This window comes from Homo sapiens, chromosome 12 (assembly GCF_000001405.40).
Source record: "Homo sapiens chromosome 12, GRCh38.p14 Primary Assembly".
NCBI lineage: Eukaryota > Metazoa > Chordata > Mammalia > Primates > Hominidae > Homo > Homo sapiens.
In genome coordinates this window covers 128,522,637-128,544,654 of record NC_000012.12, presented here as the reverse complement: position 1 = coordinate 128,544,654, position 22,018 = coordinate 128,522,637, and the positions used below count along the sequence as shown (strand labels likewise).

Below are 22,018 nucleotides of genomic sequence, written 5' to 3'. Positions count from 1 at the left end.
GATTCCCCCCGCTATAATTGTGCTTTCCTCATATTCTAAAATGAGTCTGAATTGCTTTTATAACCAGAAAACAATTATTTTAAAAAATCATCCAGGATGTCTACAGTGAATCTCACATAGCAGGTGCTTCTCCATTATTGCCACTGACTGTCACCACCTTTCCTTAAATTCCTTCTCACTGAAAACTCAATCTTCCCCTTCATGAAAAAATGAGTACTTTGTAACCGAGCATCTTCTGATAATGTAGGCAGGGCAAGGCCCCCAGAAAGTCAGTTCAGGTGTGGAGGATGCACAAGCCCTATCAGAGCAGAGATGAGCTCACCCGGCTCCAAAGCTGACCCCGCAGCGCTGCAGAGCGAGCGCCCCACCCCGCCCTGCTGCAGAGGCAGAGGGTCCTGCATGGATATCAATGCCTCCAGATTTCCACGTGGTGGGTTCAATAGCTCCTCTGAGCAGCCGCTCACGCGAGTCCAAGTCAAGGCTCTTACGCACCAGCCGGCCTGGGCCCGGGACCAGGAACCACACACGCTTGCAGGGAGGGCACCGCTTACCTGTTGCGTGGGCTGGGCCCCAGGCGCTGGCAGGCCACGGTGGCCGTCACGTGCTTTCCGCCGCTGCCCACCTCCTGCTTGACGCCCCACTGCCGGGGCTCACGGGTCTGAGCACTCAGGATGTTCACCCCCTTCTTCACCTTGGCTCTGTGGGGATGAAGATGGGAGAGAGAGAGAGACAGGGTTAAGGCTTGGCCTTTCCAACGTGCCCAGCTCTGCAGAGTTGTCACCTTTAGTTTCTGTTTTGCTTTTCCACTTTTTTCATATCTAGTGAGAGGCAAAGCTGCCCAGTGGTGGTGATGCCAGGGCAGGGCGAGCGGGATCTGCCTGTGGATAAGGCAGTCACAGACCTTGCTGTCCGGTTCTGAGGGGGAGGAAAAAGGACCCCTGGAATTCACCAGACCAGGAGGTGGCAGGGCAGAGCTGTCAAGGCATGCACTCAGCCTGCCTGGGTCCGTCTCCTCACTCAGGGGGCTCTGCGCCCTGCCAGAGACATTTGGCAATGTCTGGAGATACTTGTAGTTGTCATGGCTGTGTGTGTGGGGGGTGTTGTTATCCAGTAGGGAAGTGAGGAGAAAGGAGGAACGTAGCTAAACAGCCTGCAACCCACTTGAAAGCCCCACCACACAGAGCCACTGGGCCCACAGTGTCAATACTACTAGGAAAGCCGGTCCTGGGTTCATACCCCAGTTTCACCACTTCCTAGCGGTGCAAATTTGGACAAGGCATAACTTCATGCCTCACCTCCCTCCTCTGTAAGAAAGAGCAGGATCATAGTAGCTCCCATTATAAAGCTGCTGTAATGATTAAATAGATGTAAAGAGATTAGAACAAGAGCAGCGCCAGGCATACAATACACACTTAATAAATGTTAGCGATTGTCACATCACTCCAGGGAAGTCCCCAACCTGCTTAACGTGACTTGCCTGGCACACACTTAACAAAGATACATTAAGTCAGGGACCAAAAAACAAAGCAACAAAAAGGCAAAGAGCTCCTCCTAAAGCTGCTGTTGTTTTGATCACACCACTTAGCCAGCCTCAATTTCACTTTCCTTATCAATAAACGGACGAGACAAGTAGCAGCTTGAGCACACACATCTACTCATACCGTTTTCCTTCATCCCACTCACAGGAGAGCAAAGGGACTGTTTTAAAAGGCATAAGACAGTTGGGCACAGTGGCTCATGGCACAGTGGCTCACGCCTATAATCCCAGCACATTTTTTTTTTTTTTTTTTTTTTTGCATCGAAGTATTGTTCTGTCGCTAGGCTGGAGTACAGTGGTGCAATCTTGGCTCATTGCAACCTCCGCCTCCTGGGTTCAAGCAATTCCCCTGCCTCAGCCTGCCGAGTAGCTGGGACTACAGGCACCTGCCACCACGCCCGGCTACTTTTTTTGTATTTTAGTAGAGATTGGGTTTCACCATGCTGGCCAGGATGGTCTCAATATCCTGACCTTGTGATCCACCCGCCTTGGCCTCCTAAAGTGCTGGGATTACAGGTGTCAGCCACTGCGTCCGGCCAATCCCAGCAGTTTAGGAGGCTGAGCTGGGCAGATCACTTGAGCTCAGGAGTTGGAGATTAGCTTGGCCAACGTGGTGAAACCTTGTCTCTACGAAAAATACAAAACTTAACCCGGCATGGTGGTGCATGCCTTTAGTCCCAGCTACTCGGGAGGTTTAGGCAGGAGGGTCACTTGAACCTGGGAGGCGGAGGTTGCAGCGAGCTGAGATCGTGCCACTGCACTCCAGCCTGGGCAACAGAGCAAGGCTCCAACTCAAGATAATTATAATAATAATAAAATAAAAGGCATAATCCCATGACCGGAAGAGGAAATGCAGCCGCAGCAACAGATTTGGGAAACTGGAAACTGGGAGTTCAGTGGATAAAACAAGTCAGCAGAACTTCAAAATGGAGCTTCAAGCTGTCAGTGAGCAGAGTCAACAACCAACACAGTTTCTACCAAAGAGCCCCCCAGACTCAGGAGTTTGTGATAACAGTTACAAAATCGGAGTGAATGAGGACTGAAATAAAGAGGGTTGGCTACAAGTCTGTTTAGGAAGCAGCCAATTAAACTCCCCTTTTTATGCCCAGGTGATGCCAGGACTTCACATTGGGTATGGGTATCAGGGCGAGTGGGGAACTGGGGGTGCCTGGGGGTGCCACACCGAATACAGAGGGACCCCACAACCCCATGTGTGCTGAATGCTGAGATTCGCAGGCGGGTCCCCCTAGACTGCATCTTCACCCTCCAGGAGAAACACTGGATTCCAGAGGGTGATACCATCCTAAGACCAAAATGCAACAGGCATTGACACTATGGCCTCTCCAAACAGCCAGCCAGATGCCCTGCAGTGAAGCCTGAAGTCAGCAAGTGCAGTTGAGGGGCTCTGAGCCTCTCACAGCCTTTTAGTCCCCCTCCTTTATATGAACCAGCAAACAGGAATTGTTAGACACTAAGAAAAGTCTCTACGTGATATAAAGACCGTGATATGCTGAAATAAAGATCTGGTACTCATCCCTGTTTCCTGGCATACAGCTCCTAAAATCCTGGGAATAGTGATGTCTTCTTGTGCACTAAGGAGGTGACTGGTGGCTGGGATTACAGGTAGCTTCAGGATAGGGTTGGTCACCAGAAAGACCAAGGCAAGAATAGAGGGTTTGGACTTTCAGCCCATCCCCTCAATCTCCAGTGGGAACAGAGGGGCTCATCACCACTGACCAAATATTTAATCAATCATACCTAGTTATAAAGACTCCTAAAAGCCCCAAAGGACAGGATTTGGGGAGCTTCCTGATAGCTGAATCCATGGAGGTTCCTGGAAGGTGGTGTCCCTGGAAGGTGGTATCCCAGGAAGGCAAGGAAGCTTCATACTCCTTCCCCTATACCCTGTCCTACATGTTTCCTCATCTGTATCCTTCATAACATCCTTTTTAATAAACCAGTCAACATAAGTAAATGTTTCCCTGAACTCTGTGAGCCGCTCTAGGAAATTAATCAAACCTGAGGATGAGGTCATGGGAACCCCACTTTAAAGCCAGGCAGTCAGACACACAGAGAGAGAGAGAGAGAGACAGAGAAAGAGAGAAAGATAGACAGACAGACAGAGACATACAGACAGAGAGATAGAGACAGAAAGAGAGAGAGAAGTAGACAGACAGAGACAGAGAGAAACAGACAGACAGAGTAAGCCAGGGCTTGCAGTTGGTATCAGCAGTGGGGAGCAGTCCTGGGGAGTGAGCCCTCGACCCGCGGGCCCTGACGATTTCTCCAGGTAGAGATGGTGGGAACTGAACTAGAGGACACCTAGCTGACATCTGCTGCAGAACTGCTCACTCACTTGCCGATGGGAGAAACCACCCCCTCTGCCCCATGCTTGGCCACAGGAGTCCTCTGTATTGGTTGTTGTGGGGTGAGAGCAGAGGAAGTAGTTTGTATTTGTCCACGCAGAAAGACTGAAACAGGCAAACGCAGGGAGGGGAGGGCAGCAACCTACCAGAAATACAGCCTATGCAGTAAAGAATATCCGTGTTTAAGAAAACAGAGAATTGGCTGGGCGTGGTGGCTCATGCCTGTAATCCCAGCACTTTGGGAGGCCGAGGTAGGCAGATCATGAGGTCAGCAGATAGAGATTATCCTGGCCAACATGGCAAAAACCCATCTCTACTAAAAATACAAAAATTAGCTGGGCATGGTGGTGCATGCCTGTAGTCCCAGCTACTCGGGAGGCTGAGGCAGGAGAATCACTTGAACCCAGGAGCCAGAGGTTGCAGTGAGCCAAGATCGTGCCACTGCAGTGCAGCCTGGTGACAGAGCGAAACTCTGTCTCAAAACAAAACAAAACCAAAAACAGAGAATCATTCGCATTCACTAAGAGATAAGAGAAGATATTGCAATCATGAAACAAAAATGACTGCTATATCTTAAAAAAAGAACACGCAGCAGGGACAAAATGAGCCCTTGGAAATTAAAAATATAGCAAAATGGAAAGTCGGTGGAATGGTTGATGGATGAAGTTGAGGAAATTTCCTAAGAAGCAGAGAAAAGACGAAGTGGAAGATAGGAGAAAAAAATTAAGAGGATGGCTTTGAGGTTCAATATGTCAATAACAGAAAAAAGAAACAGAGAAAAGAAAGAGGATGAATCATTAATGAAATAATTTAAGAAAATGTCTCCAAATGAAAGGATGTGTTTTCAGATTGGAAGAGCCCACTATGTGATCAGCACAATGAATGAGAATAGACACACACCAGGCCACGTGATCAATACATTTTGGAAGATGGCGTATGTAGAAGTGAATTCTACAATCCTCTAGAGAGAAAAAAACCATCAGAAAGAATTCAGAATTCATAACAGCCACTCCGTAACCTAGAAGACAATAAAAAATGTCTTGAATATTGAAAGGGGAGATTATTTCCAACCTAGAATTCTGTATCCACCCTATGAGCTCAGTGTTTCCACACACACATGTTCATTTGTTTTTTGAGACAGAGTCTTGCTCTGTCACCCAGGCTGGAGTGCAATGGCGCCATCTCGGCTCACTGCAACCTCTGCCTCTCGGGTTTAAGTGATTCCCCTGCCTCAGCCTCCCGGGTAGCTGGGACTACAGGCGACCACCGCCACGCCCAGCTAATTTTTTTTGTATTTTTAGTAGAGGCAGGGTTTCACCGTGTTAGTCAGGATGGTCTCGATTTCTTGACCTTGTGATCCGCCCACCTCGGCCTCTCAAAGTGCTGGGATTACAGGTGTGAGACACCACGCCCAGCCCACACATGTGTGTGCTAAGGTCATTTACTCCTTACACTCATGCTTGGGAACCTACTTGAGCATGTGTTCCATCAAACCACAAAGTGAAGCTGGAAGGAAGACATGAGACAAGGGAAACAGATCCCAAATACAAGTGACGTGGAAAGAATCCCAGGTTGATGGTGAAGAGAGGTCCTTGAATAACAGCAGAGCATGAGGCATGGAGAAGATTCCGGCAAAGACTTCCCCGGGAAACGAAAATTTTCTTAATAAACATGATGTTCAATAAGTGTTCCTTGAGGACATTTAAACAACTAGAGGAGAGTTTCAGGATAAATATGAGCTAAATATACAGAAAATCAAGAAAAAGAATAAAACCCAATCAGTTTTTAATCCTGAAGATAAGAACTCATTATGCAGAGAAGGAAAAGTAATCATAATTTAATACTTGATTTTACTGTGATTAGCACATGTACTTATATTTTAAACACTGAATATTAATCTAGACAAAATATGATTATTATACTTGAGGGATGGAGAGATAAAATGGGAGGCACTTATGTGGGGGAGAAAAGAGATATATCCTAATTCTCCATAGTGGGAAATTTATAGATATTGCCTAAAAAAAAGTGTCAACATCAGTGCGTTACTCGGTGATATGCCTATAAATACCAGGTGAGGAAAGAATTTTGCCTCTGTGCGTGGAGAGAAGCAGTAAAAGGGAGCAGGGCACTGCAGTATTATTTTAAAATAACTTTGTATTTTTAAATAGTTCAATAGTTTGATATTAAGAGGAAGTTGTGGCTGGGTTTGGTGGCTCACACTTGTAATCCCAGAACTTTGGGAGGTGGGAGGATCCCTGGAGGCCAAGAGTTTGAGACTAACCTGGACAACAAAATAACATGCTGTCTCTACAAAAAGATAAAATAATTAGCCCCACACGGTGACCCATGCCTGTAATCCCAGCACTCTGGGAGGCCAACACGGGCAGATCACCTGAGGTCAGGAGTTCCAGACCAGCCTGGCCAACATGGTGAAACCCCGTCTCTACTGAAAATACAAAAAAAATTAACCAGGCATGGTGGGAGGGACCTGTAATCCCAGCTACTTGGGAGACTGAGGCAGGGGAATCACTTGAACCCAGGAGGCAGAGGTTGCAGTGAGCTGAGATTGTGCCACTGCACTCCAGCCTGGGCAACAAGAACGAGACTCCATCTCAAAATACTACTACTACTACCACCACTAGTACTATTACTATTAAGCCCCATATGACAGAGTGTGCCTGTAGTCCCAGCTATGGGGGAAGCTGAGGCAGCAGGATCACTTGAGGCCAGGAGGAGCTATGATAGCACTGCTACACTCCAGCCTGGGCAACAGAGTAAGACCCTGTCTTAAAAAGTAAATTTAAAAAAGTTGCAAAACAACAAAATACTGAGTTCCCATGTACCCATCATCCAGCTTCCCCCAATGATAATATTGACCATAATTGTGGTCCATTGTCAAAGCCAGGAAATTGATATAGGCATATTACTATTAACCAGGTACATACCTTATTTAGATTTTACACGTTTTCACATGAACTTTTTTGGTGTATAGTTCTATGAAATTATATCCTATGTATAGATTTGAGTAGCCATCACAATAATAAAGATGTGGCATTGTTCCTTCAACACAGAGGAGCTCCTTCATGTGCCCCCTTCATAGTCACACCTTCCTCGAATCCTGTAACTGGTCTGTTCTCTAGCACTACAGTTCTCACACTTTGAGAATGTTGTATACAGGTTTCTGCCAATAAACTCTGCAGAACTATTTGACCTTCTAAATTACATGCAAGAAATAAAAATACAATTCTAAGCTACCCAACAGATGGAACGGACCCTCTCTTGGCCAAGGAGATGCCAGTGAAACCTTGAAAACTGAGTTCCTGGCTATGATGGGATGGGAGGCTGGATACACCTCCTTATCCCCCCTCCTTCCCTAAGCACCATTAGGCTTTCTCCCTGAGGGCTAAACGGAAACCAGCCATTTGGAAAGACTTGCTCCAGATACCAAAGACTGCCTGATACTGCCTTGCCCTTTTATGGTTTTGACAAAAGGGTTCCTTCCTAATAAGAGACCACTAACCTTGCAGTGGTTCTGGCCATCTACTGAGGATGCACAGTGAGGGGTTTCATGTCCTCTGCTTCATCTTTTGATGTCAGAGGGCTGAAAACCCCACCTTGGGATCATGCTATCCCTGTCATCTTTTGCACATGGGACCCATGAAAGGGCATGAAACTCAGCTGTGCATACACATGCTTCTCCTCCCATAAATATTCATGACTCCTCCTATGGCTTATTGAATATGCATATTTATCCTTCTTACTCAGCATAAATCCCTGTCTTGTTCTTCCCATCTCTGAATGGCTTGTTTCTTGCTTCTGGCTGGAGGCTACACTTCCCAGCCTGTCAGAATGGCCACCTGGCAGGCTGCAATCCTTTATGAGAAATAAAGCTCTTCTTTCCAAATGTATGAACCTCATCATTCTTCAGTTGACATATGCAAGGTCATGTCTTATGAAAGGAAATTACACACTTACACACACAGACACACACACACACACACAAGCACCCCCTATTAACCTCCCAGACTGAAGGAGATACATTCTTGTGAATAGTTAAAAGGCTAGACATAGCTGATGAATGTGATTACCAGGGGGTCCCCATGCGGGAACACTGCGGGTGGAAGGTGGTGATAAAACACATCTTCACCTGCCAAACTTAGGAGTCCAACCCTCATAGCAGCAATAGCATGCCAGCCACACAGCCACCTTCTCTTTTTTTTTCATTATACTTTAAGTTCTAGGGTACACGTGCACAAGTGCAGGTTTGATACATGTGCCATGTTGGTTTGCTGCACCCATCAACTCATCATTTACATTAGGTTTATCTCCTAATGCTATCCCTCCCCCAGCCCCCCACCCCATGACAGGCCCTGGTGTGTGATGTTCTCTGCCCTGTGACCAAGTGTTCTCATTGTTCAATTCCCACCTATGAGTGAGAACATGCGGTGTTTGGTTTTCTGTCCTTGCGATAGTTTGCTCAGAATGATGGTTTCCAGCATCATCTATGTCCCTGCAAAGGACATGAACTCATCCTTTCTAATGGCTGCATAGTATTCCATGGTATATATGTGTCATATTGTCTTAATCCAGTCTATCATTGGTGGACATTTGGGTTGGTTCCAAGTCTTTGCTATTGTGAATAGTGCTGCAATAAACATATGTATGCATGTGTCTTTATAGTAGCATGATTTATAATCCTTTGGGTATACACCCAGTAGTGGGATTGCTGGGTCAAATGGTAATTCTAGCTCTAGATCCTTGAGGAATCGCCACACTGTCTTCCACAATGGTTGAACTAATTTACACTCCCACCAACAGTGTAAAAGCGTTCCTATTTCTCCACATCCTTTCCAGTATCTGTTGTTTCCTGACTTTTTTTTTTTTTTGATGGAGTCTTGCTCTGTCACCCAGGCTGGAGTGCAGTGGCGTGATCTCGGTTCACTGCAAGCTCTGCCTCCCGGGTTCATGCCATTCTCCTGCCTCAGCCTCCCAAGTAGCTGGGACTACAGGTGCCTGCCACCATGCCTGATTAATTTTTTGTACGTTTAGTAGAGACGGGGTTTCACTGTGTTAGCTAAGATGGTCTCGATCTCCTGACTTCGTGGTCTGCCTGCTTCGGCTTCCCAAAGGGCTGGGATTACAGGCGTGAGCCACTGCACCGGCCTGTTTTCTGACTTTTTAATGATTGCCATTCTAACTGGCATGAGATGGTATCTCATTGTGGTTTTGATTTGCATTTCTTTGATGCAAGTGATGATGAGCATTTTTTCATGTGTCTGTTTGCTGCATAGATGTCTTCTTTTGCGAAGTGTCTGTTCATATCCTTCGCCCACTTTTTCATGGGGTTGTTTGTTTTTTTCTTGTAAATTTGTTTGAGTTCTTTGTAGATTCTGGATATTAGCCCTTTGTCAGATGGATAGATTGCAAACATTTTCTCCCATTCTGTAGGTTGCCTGTTCACTCTGATGGTAGTTTCTTTTGCCGTGCAGTAGCTCTTTAGTTTAATTAGATCCCATTTGTCTATTTTGCACAGCCACTTTCTCTTAAGAAACTTCTTCTGAGTCTTACATTAAATGATTCACTAAATACACGTGCTACTCTGAACACCAGGAGGCCAGGACGTGCTTGAGGGACGAAGATCAAAGACACATTAGCATGGGAAAGTCCCCATTGCCCCTAGCAGGAAATGAATGCCCCAGTTGTGTTCATAGCATGGACACCTTCTACTTCTACTGCTGGAAATAAATGCCTCTTGCAATGTGACTTGGCTTGAAATTGGCTTTTTCTGCATTTGGATTTTTCTCAATATTTCAGATTTCACTGAAGCTACAAATTGTTCTTTCCGCTTAATAGTGCATGTTCATAGGAGGATTCTCACCAACTGGTGCAGTGGCTGGTGTCACCTCTGGATGGGGTGGGAGAAGGAACCACAGAAATGGGAGAAATGCATAGGTTTAACAGGCTGATTGTGTTAATCGGGCATTTTCTTCGATAAGAGCAGTGGATATTCCTGTCTACTTCAAGGAACTAGTTGTTGCAGGGTTTGTGTCCAGGACCAGAAGTTTTGCAACCAGAGTCAGCATTTTAAAAAACAGTGGAAGTGGGCGGTAAACACTGAGGATGCCTGGCTTCAAGGTGCAAGCCCAGGGAAGCTGGCCAGTGGCAGTGTGAGGCCAACCCCGCTCAGCCAGGCTGCATGGAGGGGAGGAGCTTCCAGCCCTGCTTCTGGAGGGTCAGGCAGGTGTGCTTTTCTTTCTTCATCTGCTGCATCCAGGGTGGCCCTAGTTCAGTGGTTTCCAGTTTGTGGGTCTGCTATTGCTGGTAGCTTGGGAGATGATTTCCCATGTAGCATGGAGCACCAACTGTTCCCAGTACTGTGCTAGACACTGCAATGCATCCACGTGGGACTCAGGCAAGGGCTGGACTTGGTGGCATCTCTGGTCCCATCTGGGTTACCTGAACGGGGCTCACGCCATCTACAAGGCACGTTGATCACTGATGCTCCTACTCAGGTTTTTAGTGGTTAAAACCCAAACGAAACAAAAAATATTTTCCCTCTTTTTAAAATGTGCTTGGCTTGGGTATAACACAGGGATGATTAAGTGTTCCTTAAGGAAAATCAATGTTCAGTACAAATTTTGAACACAGGAAGCCTAATTTCCACCCTGCAAACCATCTATCTCATGGTCAGCTACAATCTTCTTATGAAATTCTCTCCTTAGAGGCTTCTCAGGCCTGCTGGGGTGTGTGAGTGCCTGGGTATGATGAGGAGTGTGTGTGTGTGTGTGTGTGTGTGTGTGTGTATGTGCGCATGTGTGAGGAGCATGTGTGTGTGTATGCATGTGTGTGCACGGATGGGAGGGCGGGTAAGTACCACTTGGCCTCTGGGCCCTGTAAGGCTGTCTGCTCAGGAGCTGAATCTGATCTTCAGAGTACGTTCAAACTGAAAAATGATAATTATTGTTGTTATGGGTTGAACTCCTCACCTTTCCAATCCATATGTTGAAATCCTAACTCCCAGCATTTTAGAATGTGACCGTATATGGAGATAGATCTTTACAGAGGTAATCACATTAAAATGGAGGTCATTAGTCTGGGCTCCAATTCAGTGACTAGTGTTCTTATGAAAAGGGGAAATTTGGAGATAGACACCAGAAGAGAAAGTCCATGGGAACATGAAGATGGCCATCTCCAAGCCAAGGAGAGAGGCCTGGGACAGACAGTCCCTCAGACCTCAGAAGGAATCAACCCTGCCAACACCCTGATCTTTAACTTCCAGCTTCCAGAACTGTGAGAGATTCGTATCCTTCAAGCCCCTCAGTCTGTGGTACTTTGTTACAGCAGCCCTAGAAAATGGATACAGTTGCTAACATGAAAATAAAGAAGCAAGCAATAAGAAAGCAGCCCACCCCTGGCCTGGCCCTCAGGAGGAGGAGCTGCTGTGAAGCTGTCATTACAACCCTGAAGGAACCAGCTGATGTAAGGTCCCATTGCACTGAGCTAACCAACCAGCAGCTGTAGGGTCCCATTGCACTAAGCCTGTTAGCCCAGTGTTCTCTACCCTGGGCATTGCGCAGGAAAGCCTCTGGTCACATGTACATAACAGCTTCTGCACTGAGAAGAGGAGGGCTGGCCCTTTGCAAGTGGTACATCCTGCATACAAAGGCATGGCACACACGCATCCTTGCTCTTCCACTAGAATAAGACTCCCACACTTATATCCAAACCCACCCACTGACCTGACAGCAGCCCTACAAAGCTGCTTCTTCTAAAGGAAGGGGGCTGTGGGTTTTCAGTATTCCAAAGGCCTTCAGAGGAAACTAACAGTGTCTTAGGATCAGGGTGTGTATATCAACAAACGTGGCATGGGTATTGCTGCTGCTTTCATCGTCTCATCCAGGGAGCATGGCCACCCAGGCCTCATGGGTTGATGACATGCTCACCGGAGGGTAGACAGCTCTACATTATCCATGTGGATTTCCCTAGGATCAGGCACTCGAGCTTCACCCTCACATGGTTGGCACATCCATACACTCTCTATAATATCATTTCTTTAATATGTTTCTCTAATTTGGCTACTGCTCTTTTTTTTTTTTTTTTTTTTTTTTTTTGAGATGGAGTCTCACTCTGTCACCCAGGCTGGAGTGCAAATGGCGCGATCTCAGCTCACTGCAAACCTCTGCCTCCAGGGTTCAAGACATTCTCCTGCCTCAGCCTCCCAAGTAGCTGGGATTACAGGTGCCTGCCACCACGCCCGGCTAATTTTTGTATTTTTAGTAGAGATGGGGTTTCATCATGTTGGCCAGGCTGGTCTTGAACTCCTGACCTCAGGTGATCCACCCGCTTTGGCCTCCCAAAATGCTGGGATTACAGGTGTGAGCCACTGCGCCCGGCCTCCTTTTTTTTTTCTTTAGAAAAGTTATTGTTGTCTAAAGTTTTTATTATTGCATATATAGTCATTTTATTATGCATACATAGTCATACATAGCTCCTCATAAAGGAGCTATAGAAAACAAAATTTACAAACTTTTCCCCTAAATACACATTGAAAGAAGCATATCAAAATACAAATAAAAACTGCGTGTTCATGAATCTCATAAAAGAACATCTCCTGCTGCTAGCATGCGTGCAACACTGGCAAGCACTGAAAATGCACAATTTAAAATACACTTTTCCTTTCATAGATGCAGCTTTGTATCTGAAATCTTTCAACACATAGGAGGGAAGAGTAATTAGCAGGGCTCTGCATAGAAACTATTGAAAAACATTGAAAATTACCGTTCTTGTGTTTTGTTTTTAATAATGCGAGCTGGTTTCCATCTCCCCGTCTGCCACCAGGAGCCTTGTGAGCAGGGTCATCTTACTCCAGCAGCAGCTTTATGGGCTGGGTACAGGTGACCTGCCAGTGGGGTGAGGGGGGCACTGTCCTTTTCCAGGCTAAGACCCAGACTCCTGACCCCTTGTGCCATCCCCCTTTGATTTTTCCTAAACTACCTGTCAGGGCAGACTTTCTGCCCCTGTCAAAAGGAGTAGAGGCCCTAGGAAATGAGGAAGCACAGACTGGTTCCAAGGCCATAAAAAAGACTCCAGTGGTCACTACTGCAACTTCCTAAGAGAAGTCATGTGTATGTGCATGCATGTGAGCAGGTATGTGCCTGTGTGTGTGCACACGCATGTGCCTTCACCTGTGGTTATGTGTGTGTATGCATGTGTGTATGTGTGAAGCCACGGAAACCCAGCTCTCTTCCCTGCCTGTAGAACTCCCTGCTCTCTCATTGACCAAGATGGACAGCCACTGCCAGTCCATCTGGAACAAATTCTCCTCATCTCTTTCAGGTTGGCTGTGAAAACAGCTGCAGTCAAACGTGTTTCCAATTGAGCGCTCTTTTTCATCTTCTGTTTAGCTTATCAAACACTGACCCCTTTTGGCCATTACCTTTTGCTGCCTTTTACCATTTACTTTGATCTTCCCTATCAAATGAAAACTTCCCTATCAGTGACTCATCAAATGCTGGATCTCAGAGAGCAGTAGGATTTCCTAAGCATTGTTGCTACTTCTAACTCTATTATTTCTTTTTCCCCTGTTCTGGTCCCCAGCAAGGGGCTACTCCTACAGCAAAAACTTTAGCAAAAGGAATGTTTCTTCATAAAACAATTACCAATGTTTTGCTTCTGTAAGTTTGCTCCCAAGAACTCCCAATTCCACCTTTCCATTCCTCTCCTTCTCTTCTTTCATTGAAACTTCAGGCTGATCAGCATGAACCAACCAGTGGTGTTCTGGCTGTTACATTTTCAGGAATTTGGCAAGCTAGCTGTCAAACACAGCCATTATTCAAATATAAGTCATAAATGTACACATTAATCTATGTTAGAAACAAAGGTAATAAATGCTCAAAACTTAGCACTTCCTAATTATTTCATGACAATTTGATATTATCTGTCCTCTTGAGTTTATGCATTTACATTTACATGGAATGAGGAAAATACTATATAAAGAAGTGTTATTGGAGGCCGGGCATGGTGGCTCATGCCTATAATCCCAGCACTTTGGGAGGCCAAGGCGGGTGGATCACGAGGTCATTAGTTCGAGACCAGCCTGACCAGCATGGTGAAACCTCATCTCTTCAAAAAAATACAAAAATTAGATGGGCGTGGTGGCACATGCTTGTAATCCCAGCTACTCGGGAGGCTGAGGCAGGAGAAGCGCTTGAACAAGGTAGGCAGAGGCTGCAGTGAGCCGAGATTGTGCCACTGCACTCCAGCCTGGGCAACAGAGTGAGACTCCGTTTAAAAAAAAAAAAAAGAAAAAGAAGTGCTATTGGATGTGTGCTCTCAACTCCGTATTCAGTGATGTCAGGTAGCCTGAAATTGGCTATGGTGAGAGTATTTCATACCACAGAATCTGGCAGTCCATATAAATCAAGGTCTTTTTCCTCTAGGGAGCAAGATGTTAAACACTGACCAGCACAGCCCTGGTGAAGGGCTGGCTGCTGTGCCATGAGGGCTGATCTACATAGAAAACTGTCCCCGGCATCTTGCATGGCAATTACCGCTTCGTTCCCATCAAATCATCGTTAGCCTGGGTGCATCGTCTACGCCTGCGGAGACTCCATCTGCACATCTCACCACTCTTCCCACCCCCGCCCACTTTCTGCCTTTTTCACTCCTACTCCATGTCCTAGGAGGCTGACCTCTAAAAATAAAACCACTCAGGGATCCCTTCCCTTCTGGCTCCCATGACGTTTAGCCAAATACCAGATTGAAGGGTAGGAGGGGAGAATTATTAAAATATCATCATTTTGCCATTATCGTGCCTAACAAAATTTGTAATTTTCTAATATAAACATTTCCCTAATCATCTCAAAGATACTGTTTTTCTGTAACTGGTTTGAACCCTCAGAATCCACAGGGTTCACATATAGCATTTGGTTATATTCTTCTATCTCTTTTATTTTTACTTTTTTGTTGTTGTTTGTCTTGCTCTGTCACCCAGGCTGGAGTGCAGTGGCACGATCTCGGCTCACTTCAACCTCCACCTCCCAGGTTCAAGCAATTCTCCTGCCTCAGCCTCCTGAGAAGCTGGGATTACAGGGGTGCATCATCATGCCCGGCTAATTTTTTTGTATTTTTAGTAGAGATGGGGTTTCACCATTTTGATCAGGCTGGTCTCAAACTCCTGACCTCAGGTGATCCACCCGCCTTGGCCTCTCAAAGTGCTGGGATTACAAGCGTAAGCCACCACGTCTGGCCCTTATATCTCTTTTATTCTATTAATAGAAAAAGAAGTGTCTCCCACGTTTTCATGAAATTGGTATTTTTTGAAATACTAAGTCACTTGTCTTATAGAATACCCATATTCTGGATTTATCTGATTGTGTCCTTGAACTGTCATTTAATTTTTTCTTGTATCCTTTGCATTTCCTTTAAACTAGCTGTTAGATCCAGACAAATGAGAAGATCTAGATTTAATGGCTAGGCAAGAATGCTGATGGGGGGTACTCTGTGTTTGTTACTGCATCATACACTGAGTCCTGATGGAGTCCACCTGTATGTAAAATTATTAAAATTTCTGCCTTTTAATTATACTAATTAATTAATAATAAAATATTAATATAAAATATTTTTATATTAAAACATTTCTGAGATGAACAGTGTTATAATTATAAGTGAGTGTTATACAGGGCAAGGCGAGACGATATCTGCCTGTTAGGAATACTGATTGGGCACCAATTTGGAATGACTGTGAGATGCACCATTCTGGAAAGGGCCAAAAGGCAAAGTGAATTTTTAGCCTTGGAACTAAAATCCCCGCTGAGTCCCGCAGTTGACAGTAACTTTTCCTGAGCAGGGAAATCTGTCTGTCCAGCTCTGAATACACAGCTCTTCAGGGGTATGTTCATGGAGAGGTCCCAATCCCATCCTGCTATGAATTATCCACCCAAAGCCCCACGGTGAGCCATGGTCTAAGCAGTGTTCTCAGGGGTGTTCTGTGCTCCAGGGGACACTGAGCAATGTCTGGAGGCATTTTTGGTTATCATGAGTAAGAGCGTGGGTGATACCGGTATTCAGCGGGTGGAGGCTGGGAGGTGATGTTGCTAAACAACCTACAATACACAGGACAGTTCCCCTCACCACCACACTAACTAAGAATTATCTGGCCCCAGATACGGACAGTACTGAGGTTGAGAAACTCTGTTCCAAGGCAGGGTAAGCAGAGCTCAGCAGAGTGAGTGGGGCGAGCAGGAGACACCGCTGTGTGATCAGCAGAATAGCCCAGCCGCGCTCCCCAAAAACACTGTCCACGCATCTGCTGCTCTGAGATTATGACGCTGTGAGCCTACATGAACACACAGTGAAGAATTTTTATGAGCTTGCCTTACCTATTTCAGAATGTAGACTGGCACGATGCTAATTTAATTATGGGAGAATAAACCATCAGGAGGAGAGATCGTGCTGTGGTCCAGGAGAGTTTCAAAGCAAAGCCCACAATGCGTGAGGGCACAAAATTCCGCAGATGAGACTCCCCTAGTGATCTGAGTCTGGAGGCTGGCCAACGGAAGACAAAACCAAGTCTTTTTTGCTGCCCTAACTTACCAGGTTCTTGTGGAAGTGGGGATGTAGCCCTGAAGTCAGCGCTCTGCTATGTTTGTGAGTATGTCCAATCGTAACAACGATAGCAACAGCTGACATTTCTCATTAATATTGCCAGTATCAGCCAGGCTCTCTTCTAAGTGTTTTCCTTGAATTACTTTTTAAAAAATCTCCTAGCAGCTTCATTGAGTGGATTCTTTTGCTATGCTTCTTTTTTAAACAGATGAGAAAAAAGAAACCACAAGCACAGAATGGTTAAGAAACTTGCTCAAGATCACATAGGAGTAAACAGTTAGGAAAGAGTGAGTGGTTGATCCCTGCACTCTGACTACAGAGTTAGAAGAAACCTAGGCAAGTGTTGGCTTGAAAATATTGCCCTGATGCCATGCTTTTTTCCACTATGGTAGGGGAAATGGTATGGATGTAACACACACACACACACACACACACACATACATGCACATTCACGTACATGCACGTTCACATACACAAACACCCCACTGCTAACTTGATGGGAACCAGACTTCTCTTTGGTCAAGAGTTACTGCTGCAAAAGAGTGTATTAATAATAAAACCCCAAAAGGGCAAAAGAGCCCATCCATCAATCCTTAATGGCTCCTTAAGTAACTTCTAACTTCTTACAGGTAACTGCGGCTTCCTTGAGAGACTCAGTGGCCAGGCACGGAGGAGCTTTGGCAGGGGGAAGATGACTTCAGCGCAGCTGCCCTATCAATACTTGATGAGGCTGACCTACTAACTCACCCCTCAAGGAGCCCTGGTCTCTCACTAGTGTTGCTTTCCCCAGCAAGTATGTAAAAACTCCTTCGTAAAAAAACAGCTACGCATGAGATAATAGCACCGGACTCCTGGCTGGGGGTGGCATCACATCCTGGCCACTTTCTTGACCCCACTCCCAGTGCCCCAGGAATTCATCTTTCTTTTGTTCTTGTCATGTTGGGGTGCAATTCTGGACACAGCGACCATCCATGGTTGCTTTCCAATTCTTGCACAAAGTTCCCTGAATTTCTTTCTTAACAGCAGCAGAATGTCCTCTGGAAGGTAACCAAGAGAGACTTCATGAGGATGCACGGGCTGAAACGGATCTTCCTAGCTTGCCAGGGAGTCAGGCAGTGAGGTGCATGGATTACAAGTGTATACTTTGAGGCCCACCTGCCTGGGCTCACAGCTCACTGCCACTGTCTAGGTGTTTTCTATTCTTGTTTATTCCTTAAGGCCCTGCATGATCTGTTCCCCATGCTGTTGCTCCCACCTGCCTCTCTGGCCTCATTTTGCAGTCCTCATTCACGATAATCCAGTCCAGGCTCTGTACTGCTGCTCCTGCCTCTGAGCCTTGTTCTCACTGTTCCCTCCTCCAGAATGCCTTTCCCCCAGGTATCTGCACGGCTGGTGTCTTCACTCTTCTCCTTCTCCACTCAAATCCCACCTTAGGGAGGCTCATATCAAGTGGGATTTGCCTTATCTTCTCTATCTTTTATTTGACTTTATTTTTCTCCATAGCCTTTATCACTCTCTGACATATACAGTTAATACTTTTTGTTGATGTGTCTCCCCAACTAAAATCTAAACTTCATCTGCGGAAGGATGCTATAGTCGGAATGTTTGCATCATCCCCAACTCATGTGTTGAAATCCTAACTCCCAAGGTGTTGGCTTTAGGAGGTGGGGCCTTTTGGGAGGTGATTAGGTCCCCAGGGTGGAACCCTCATGAATGGGAAGGGTGCCCTTATAATAGAGACTAAGGGAGCCTCATCCACTCCACCTCGTGAAGACACAGAGAAGGCAGCCCCTACAAACCAGGAAGGTACCTTCACTGGACTCTAAAGCTGCAGGTGGCTTGATCTTGAACTTTCCAGTCTCCAGAACTCTGAGAAATTAAATTCTGTTGTCTATAAGCCACCCAGCCTATGGTGTTTTCTTACAGCAGCCCTAAGGGACTAAGACAAAGGACTTTGCCTTCTTTGTCCATTGCAATATTTCTGGCATCTAGAAGAGCTCCTGGCACATGGCACACACTCAAAATATTTGTTGGTTAATTTCAATAACTATTTACTTACCAGGTGACTTCCCTGTGACTGACCCTGAACTTGGTTTCTGAAATATGGAGATAAGGCCCAGAGACATTCCTGCAGAGAGCACATTCTGTGGCATTCATGTCTCTTTTCTGCTCCCAATGTGGTAGCCCGTGGAGGTCGTGCCATTGTCTGCCATCTGGGATTGTGAGCTCTATAAGGCAAGGGTCATATGTATGTGGTTCTCCAGGTATGAAGACAAATTCAGGCCTCTTTGATGCCAGGGGCACTTCATGTGACATCAGCAGCCAATTGCACTGCTGCACCCAAGGCAGGCCAGGAGTTGCAGGTATTTCTCCAGAAGGCTAACACATCCCCAGGGCTAACAGCTCAGCTCATATGTGAGCACCCTCTCAGGAACCTGGGGCACGGAGAGGCTGAGTCACTTCCAGCTTGACAGGGGTAAGGCCGATGGGTTCTAGAAGCTTCACTCTTAATTCTTGCATTGCAATAGATCATACACCTCTCAGAAGGGCGTGTGCAAAACTCAGATCAGCCCTGTGTGCCACTGACACAGAGCACATGGTGTTACTATTAACACCTTGGGCTTCAAAAGTCAGCTCAAGAGATACTTTAAAAAGCAAGACATTTAATTATTCCAAAGAACAGGATGTATGGAGGTTGGCAGGTGTGAGGTTGATCTCTCATTGTGTCAGGGGAGTTGCTATAGCTATTAACATTATATTCTTTTACCACCATTCAAAGGAGGGAGAGAGAGAGAGAGAGAAAGAGAGAGAGAGAGAGAGAGAGAGAAGTGCAAAGGATTTCTCTTCAAAGGGCTTTGTTCCTGAAACACATCAGAAAACTTCCCTTTATGGCTCATGGGCCAGAAAACCACCCAAGCTAGAATAGAGTGCTTGGAAAGGCCTTGCCTATCACAACAGATTGGAATTAGACCAATCATGATTCATCCTCTGAGACTCCAGGAAGGCCCACCTTCCTGAGACCAGGGCACCTCCACCTGCAATCTAACAGCATCAGGCTTCTCTTAGAGGTATAGAAGGTGGGAGGCTACTGGGCATTGAGCCAGTCCTCTCAAGGGTCTGCCTCATCCGTTATCCTGGCGGGATCCTTCCAGATCAAGCTTCAACAACTGCTACAGTGGGCAGTGACTAGGGAAGGAGAGTCTTCTATCCCACTCCTCAGAGGAGGGCATTTCCGTATTCACAGAGCACCCTGGGCAAAGCAGGGATAAGAAAGCATCAGGCAGGCATCAGGGAAGATCATAGTTCTCAGCTGAGTGGACGGCTGGCATTTATACCCTAAGTCCGTCCACATCTTTACAGAGAACTGACAGGTTACCTACAGGGAGACATGGCGTTTCCACCTGTGCCCTTTCTGTAAGTAAAGAAGGAAATGAGAGCAGAGAAACCCATCGATCCCAAAGCCTGCTTCAGAAGCACATTTCAACCTGGAATCTCACCGCAAGCTTCTCACGGTGGAATTTTAATGAGTAGGCTTGTTTTCTCCCAATTCACAAATTACTGTTTGTAGCTTCCTGTTTGATGAATTCTACCCTGGAGTTTGCCTTCCAGGTTTAGAATTATATTCTTAGTTGAAAAAAAAGGTGAACAACAGGAGAAAGAAGTAATACCCAGGGCCATAAATGACAGCCTGTCCATGAGCTATGTAGGGCTAAAGCCAGCAGGGGAAGGGCTCTCTGCAGAAAAGCCATGTGATGGCAAGGGACAGCTCCTGGGGCTTATTCACATCAAACGGCAGCACTTGGGTCCTGGTGAGATGGTTTATGCCACCGTTAGTGTTTTGAATGCACACTCCCAATGCCATCGTGTTACATGCTGACTAGGATTGTATGCTACACATTCCCCAATTTTTTCCAAAGGGTACCCCATAGATCAAGGATTCAGTTGCCCTGGACTCTACAATAGCTCTCTTCCTTTCTAATAACAGAATCCCACCTTAAGCCAAGGAACCCAGTCTATGTTGTTGTAGTACAGAGAAATGGGAATGACTCAAAAGAATCACATCACCCTGGCCACGGAAATTGGTTCAGAAATGCACCACGACTCAAGCTTTTTTTTTTTTTTTTTTTTTTTTTGAGATGGCGTCTTGCTCTGTTGCCCAGGCTGGAGTGCAGTGGCACAATCCTGGCTCACTGCAGCCTTGACCTGCAGGGCTGAAGCAATCCTCCCACCTCAGCCTCCTGAGTGGCTGGGACTACAGGTGTGTGCCACCACACCTGACTAATTTTTTTTTATTATTATTTGTAGAGACAGGGTCTCTTTTTTTTTTTTTTTTTCCTGGGCTTGTCTGTAATTCCTGGGCTCAAGCAATCCTCCTCCCTCGGCCTCTCAAAGTGCTGGGATTACAGATGTGAGCCATCATGCCAGGCTCAATCAGAGGTTTTGTTTTGTTTATTTTTTTACAGATTTTTCTGACATGGTAATAGGGAAAGAACATCCCTTTTCAAGGGTCATTAAACAAGGAGGTTGTGAGTCTATGCTGCTGGTGACATCTGGTCTACCTTGTGGAATGTTCGTGAGAAATGGAGAGAAAGATAGACCCTTGGCAACACCATTCAAACTCCTGGGTCCAGCTCTGCTTGAATCTAGTTCTGTCTCCAGATTTTTTCAGCTCAAAGAGAAAATTAGTTTTCTTTTTAAAAAACAAAGTGGTAAAATACACATAACATAAAATGTAGCATCTTAAGCATTTTTAAGCATACAGTTGAGTGGCATTAAGCATCGGCACAGTATTGCAAGACCATCATCACCATCCATCTCCAGAATCTTTTCTTCTTCTCAAAATGAAACTCTGCACCCATTAAACACTACCAGTCCATTCTCCACTCCTCCCATTCCTTGACAACCACCATTCTGCTTTCTGTCTCTATGAATTCGACTACTGGAGACATCTCATGTAAGCGGAACCCTACAGTATTTGTTCTTGTGTGACTGACTGTCTTATTTCACTTAGCACGGTGTTCGCAGGGTTCATCCATGTTGTAATGTGAGTCAGAATTTCCTTCCTTTTTATGGCTGAATAATATTCCATTGTATATCTATACCCCATTCCGCTTATCCATTCATCTGTTTATAGGCACTTGGCTTGCTTTTACCGTCTGACTGTTGTAAACACTGCTGCTATAAACATGGTTGTGTAACTATCTCTTTGAGTTCTGCTTTCAATTCTTCTGTGTATATACCCAGAAGTGAAACTGATGGATCATTCAATTTCCTTTTGTTTTTTCTTTAACAGTCTGGGTTAGGGTTCTGCTGCCTGCAACCAAGAGTAGCCTATTTAATACCAAGGACACCTTCGGCATCAATGCTAATAATAATAATAGAATATTCTCAAACAAAGACTTGGCCCAGCTTGCTTGTGGCCACATCTCAGTAATCATTTTGGATAGACATGAAACAAATCAAACCTCATTCAATATTTCTTAAATGGAGGGGCACTTCTAAAACTTCA

The 22,018-nt window shown here is 45.6% G+C and overlaps 1 protein-coding gene across 3 annotated transcripts in view, besides 1 other annotated feature; it reads right to left on the bottom strand.

Moving 5' to 3' along the window:
- TMEM132C (transmembrane protein 132C) overlaps nt 1–22,018 on the bottom strand; it is a 440,742-nt gene that overhangs the window by 163,257 nt on the left and 255,467 nt on the right. For all 3 annotated transcript variants that reach the window (NM_001136103.3, XM_047429886.1, NM_001387058.1), the window contains exon 3: nt 552–698. In NM_001136103.3, the coding sequence (NP_001129575.2) occupies nt 552–698 (147 nt within the window). The remainder of the gene's footprint in view (nt 1–551; nt 699–22,018) is intronic.
- Nucleotides 616–791: a silencer, noted in NCBI's record as "fragment chr12:129028409-129028584 (GRCh37/hg19 assembly coordinates)". NCBI's record gives its function as "represses an EF-1alpha promoter that drives an FKBP-Casp9 reporter gene in an ReSE screen in HepG2 liver carcinoma cells {active_cell/tissue: HepG2}" and the evidence as "EXISTENCE:reporter gene assay evidence [ECO:0000049][PMID:32094911]".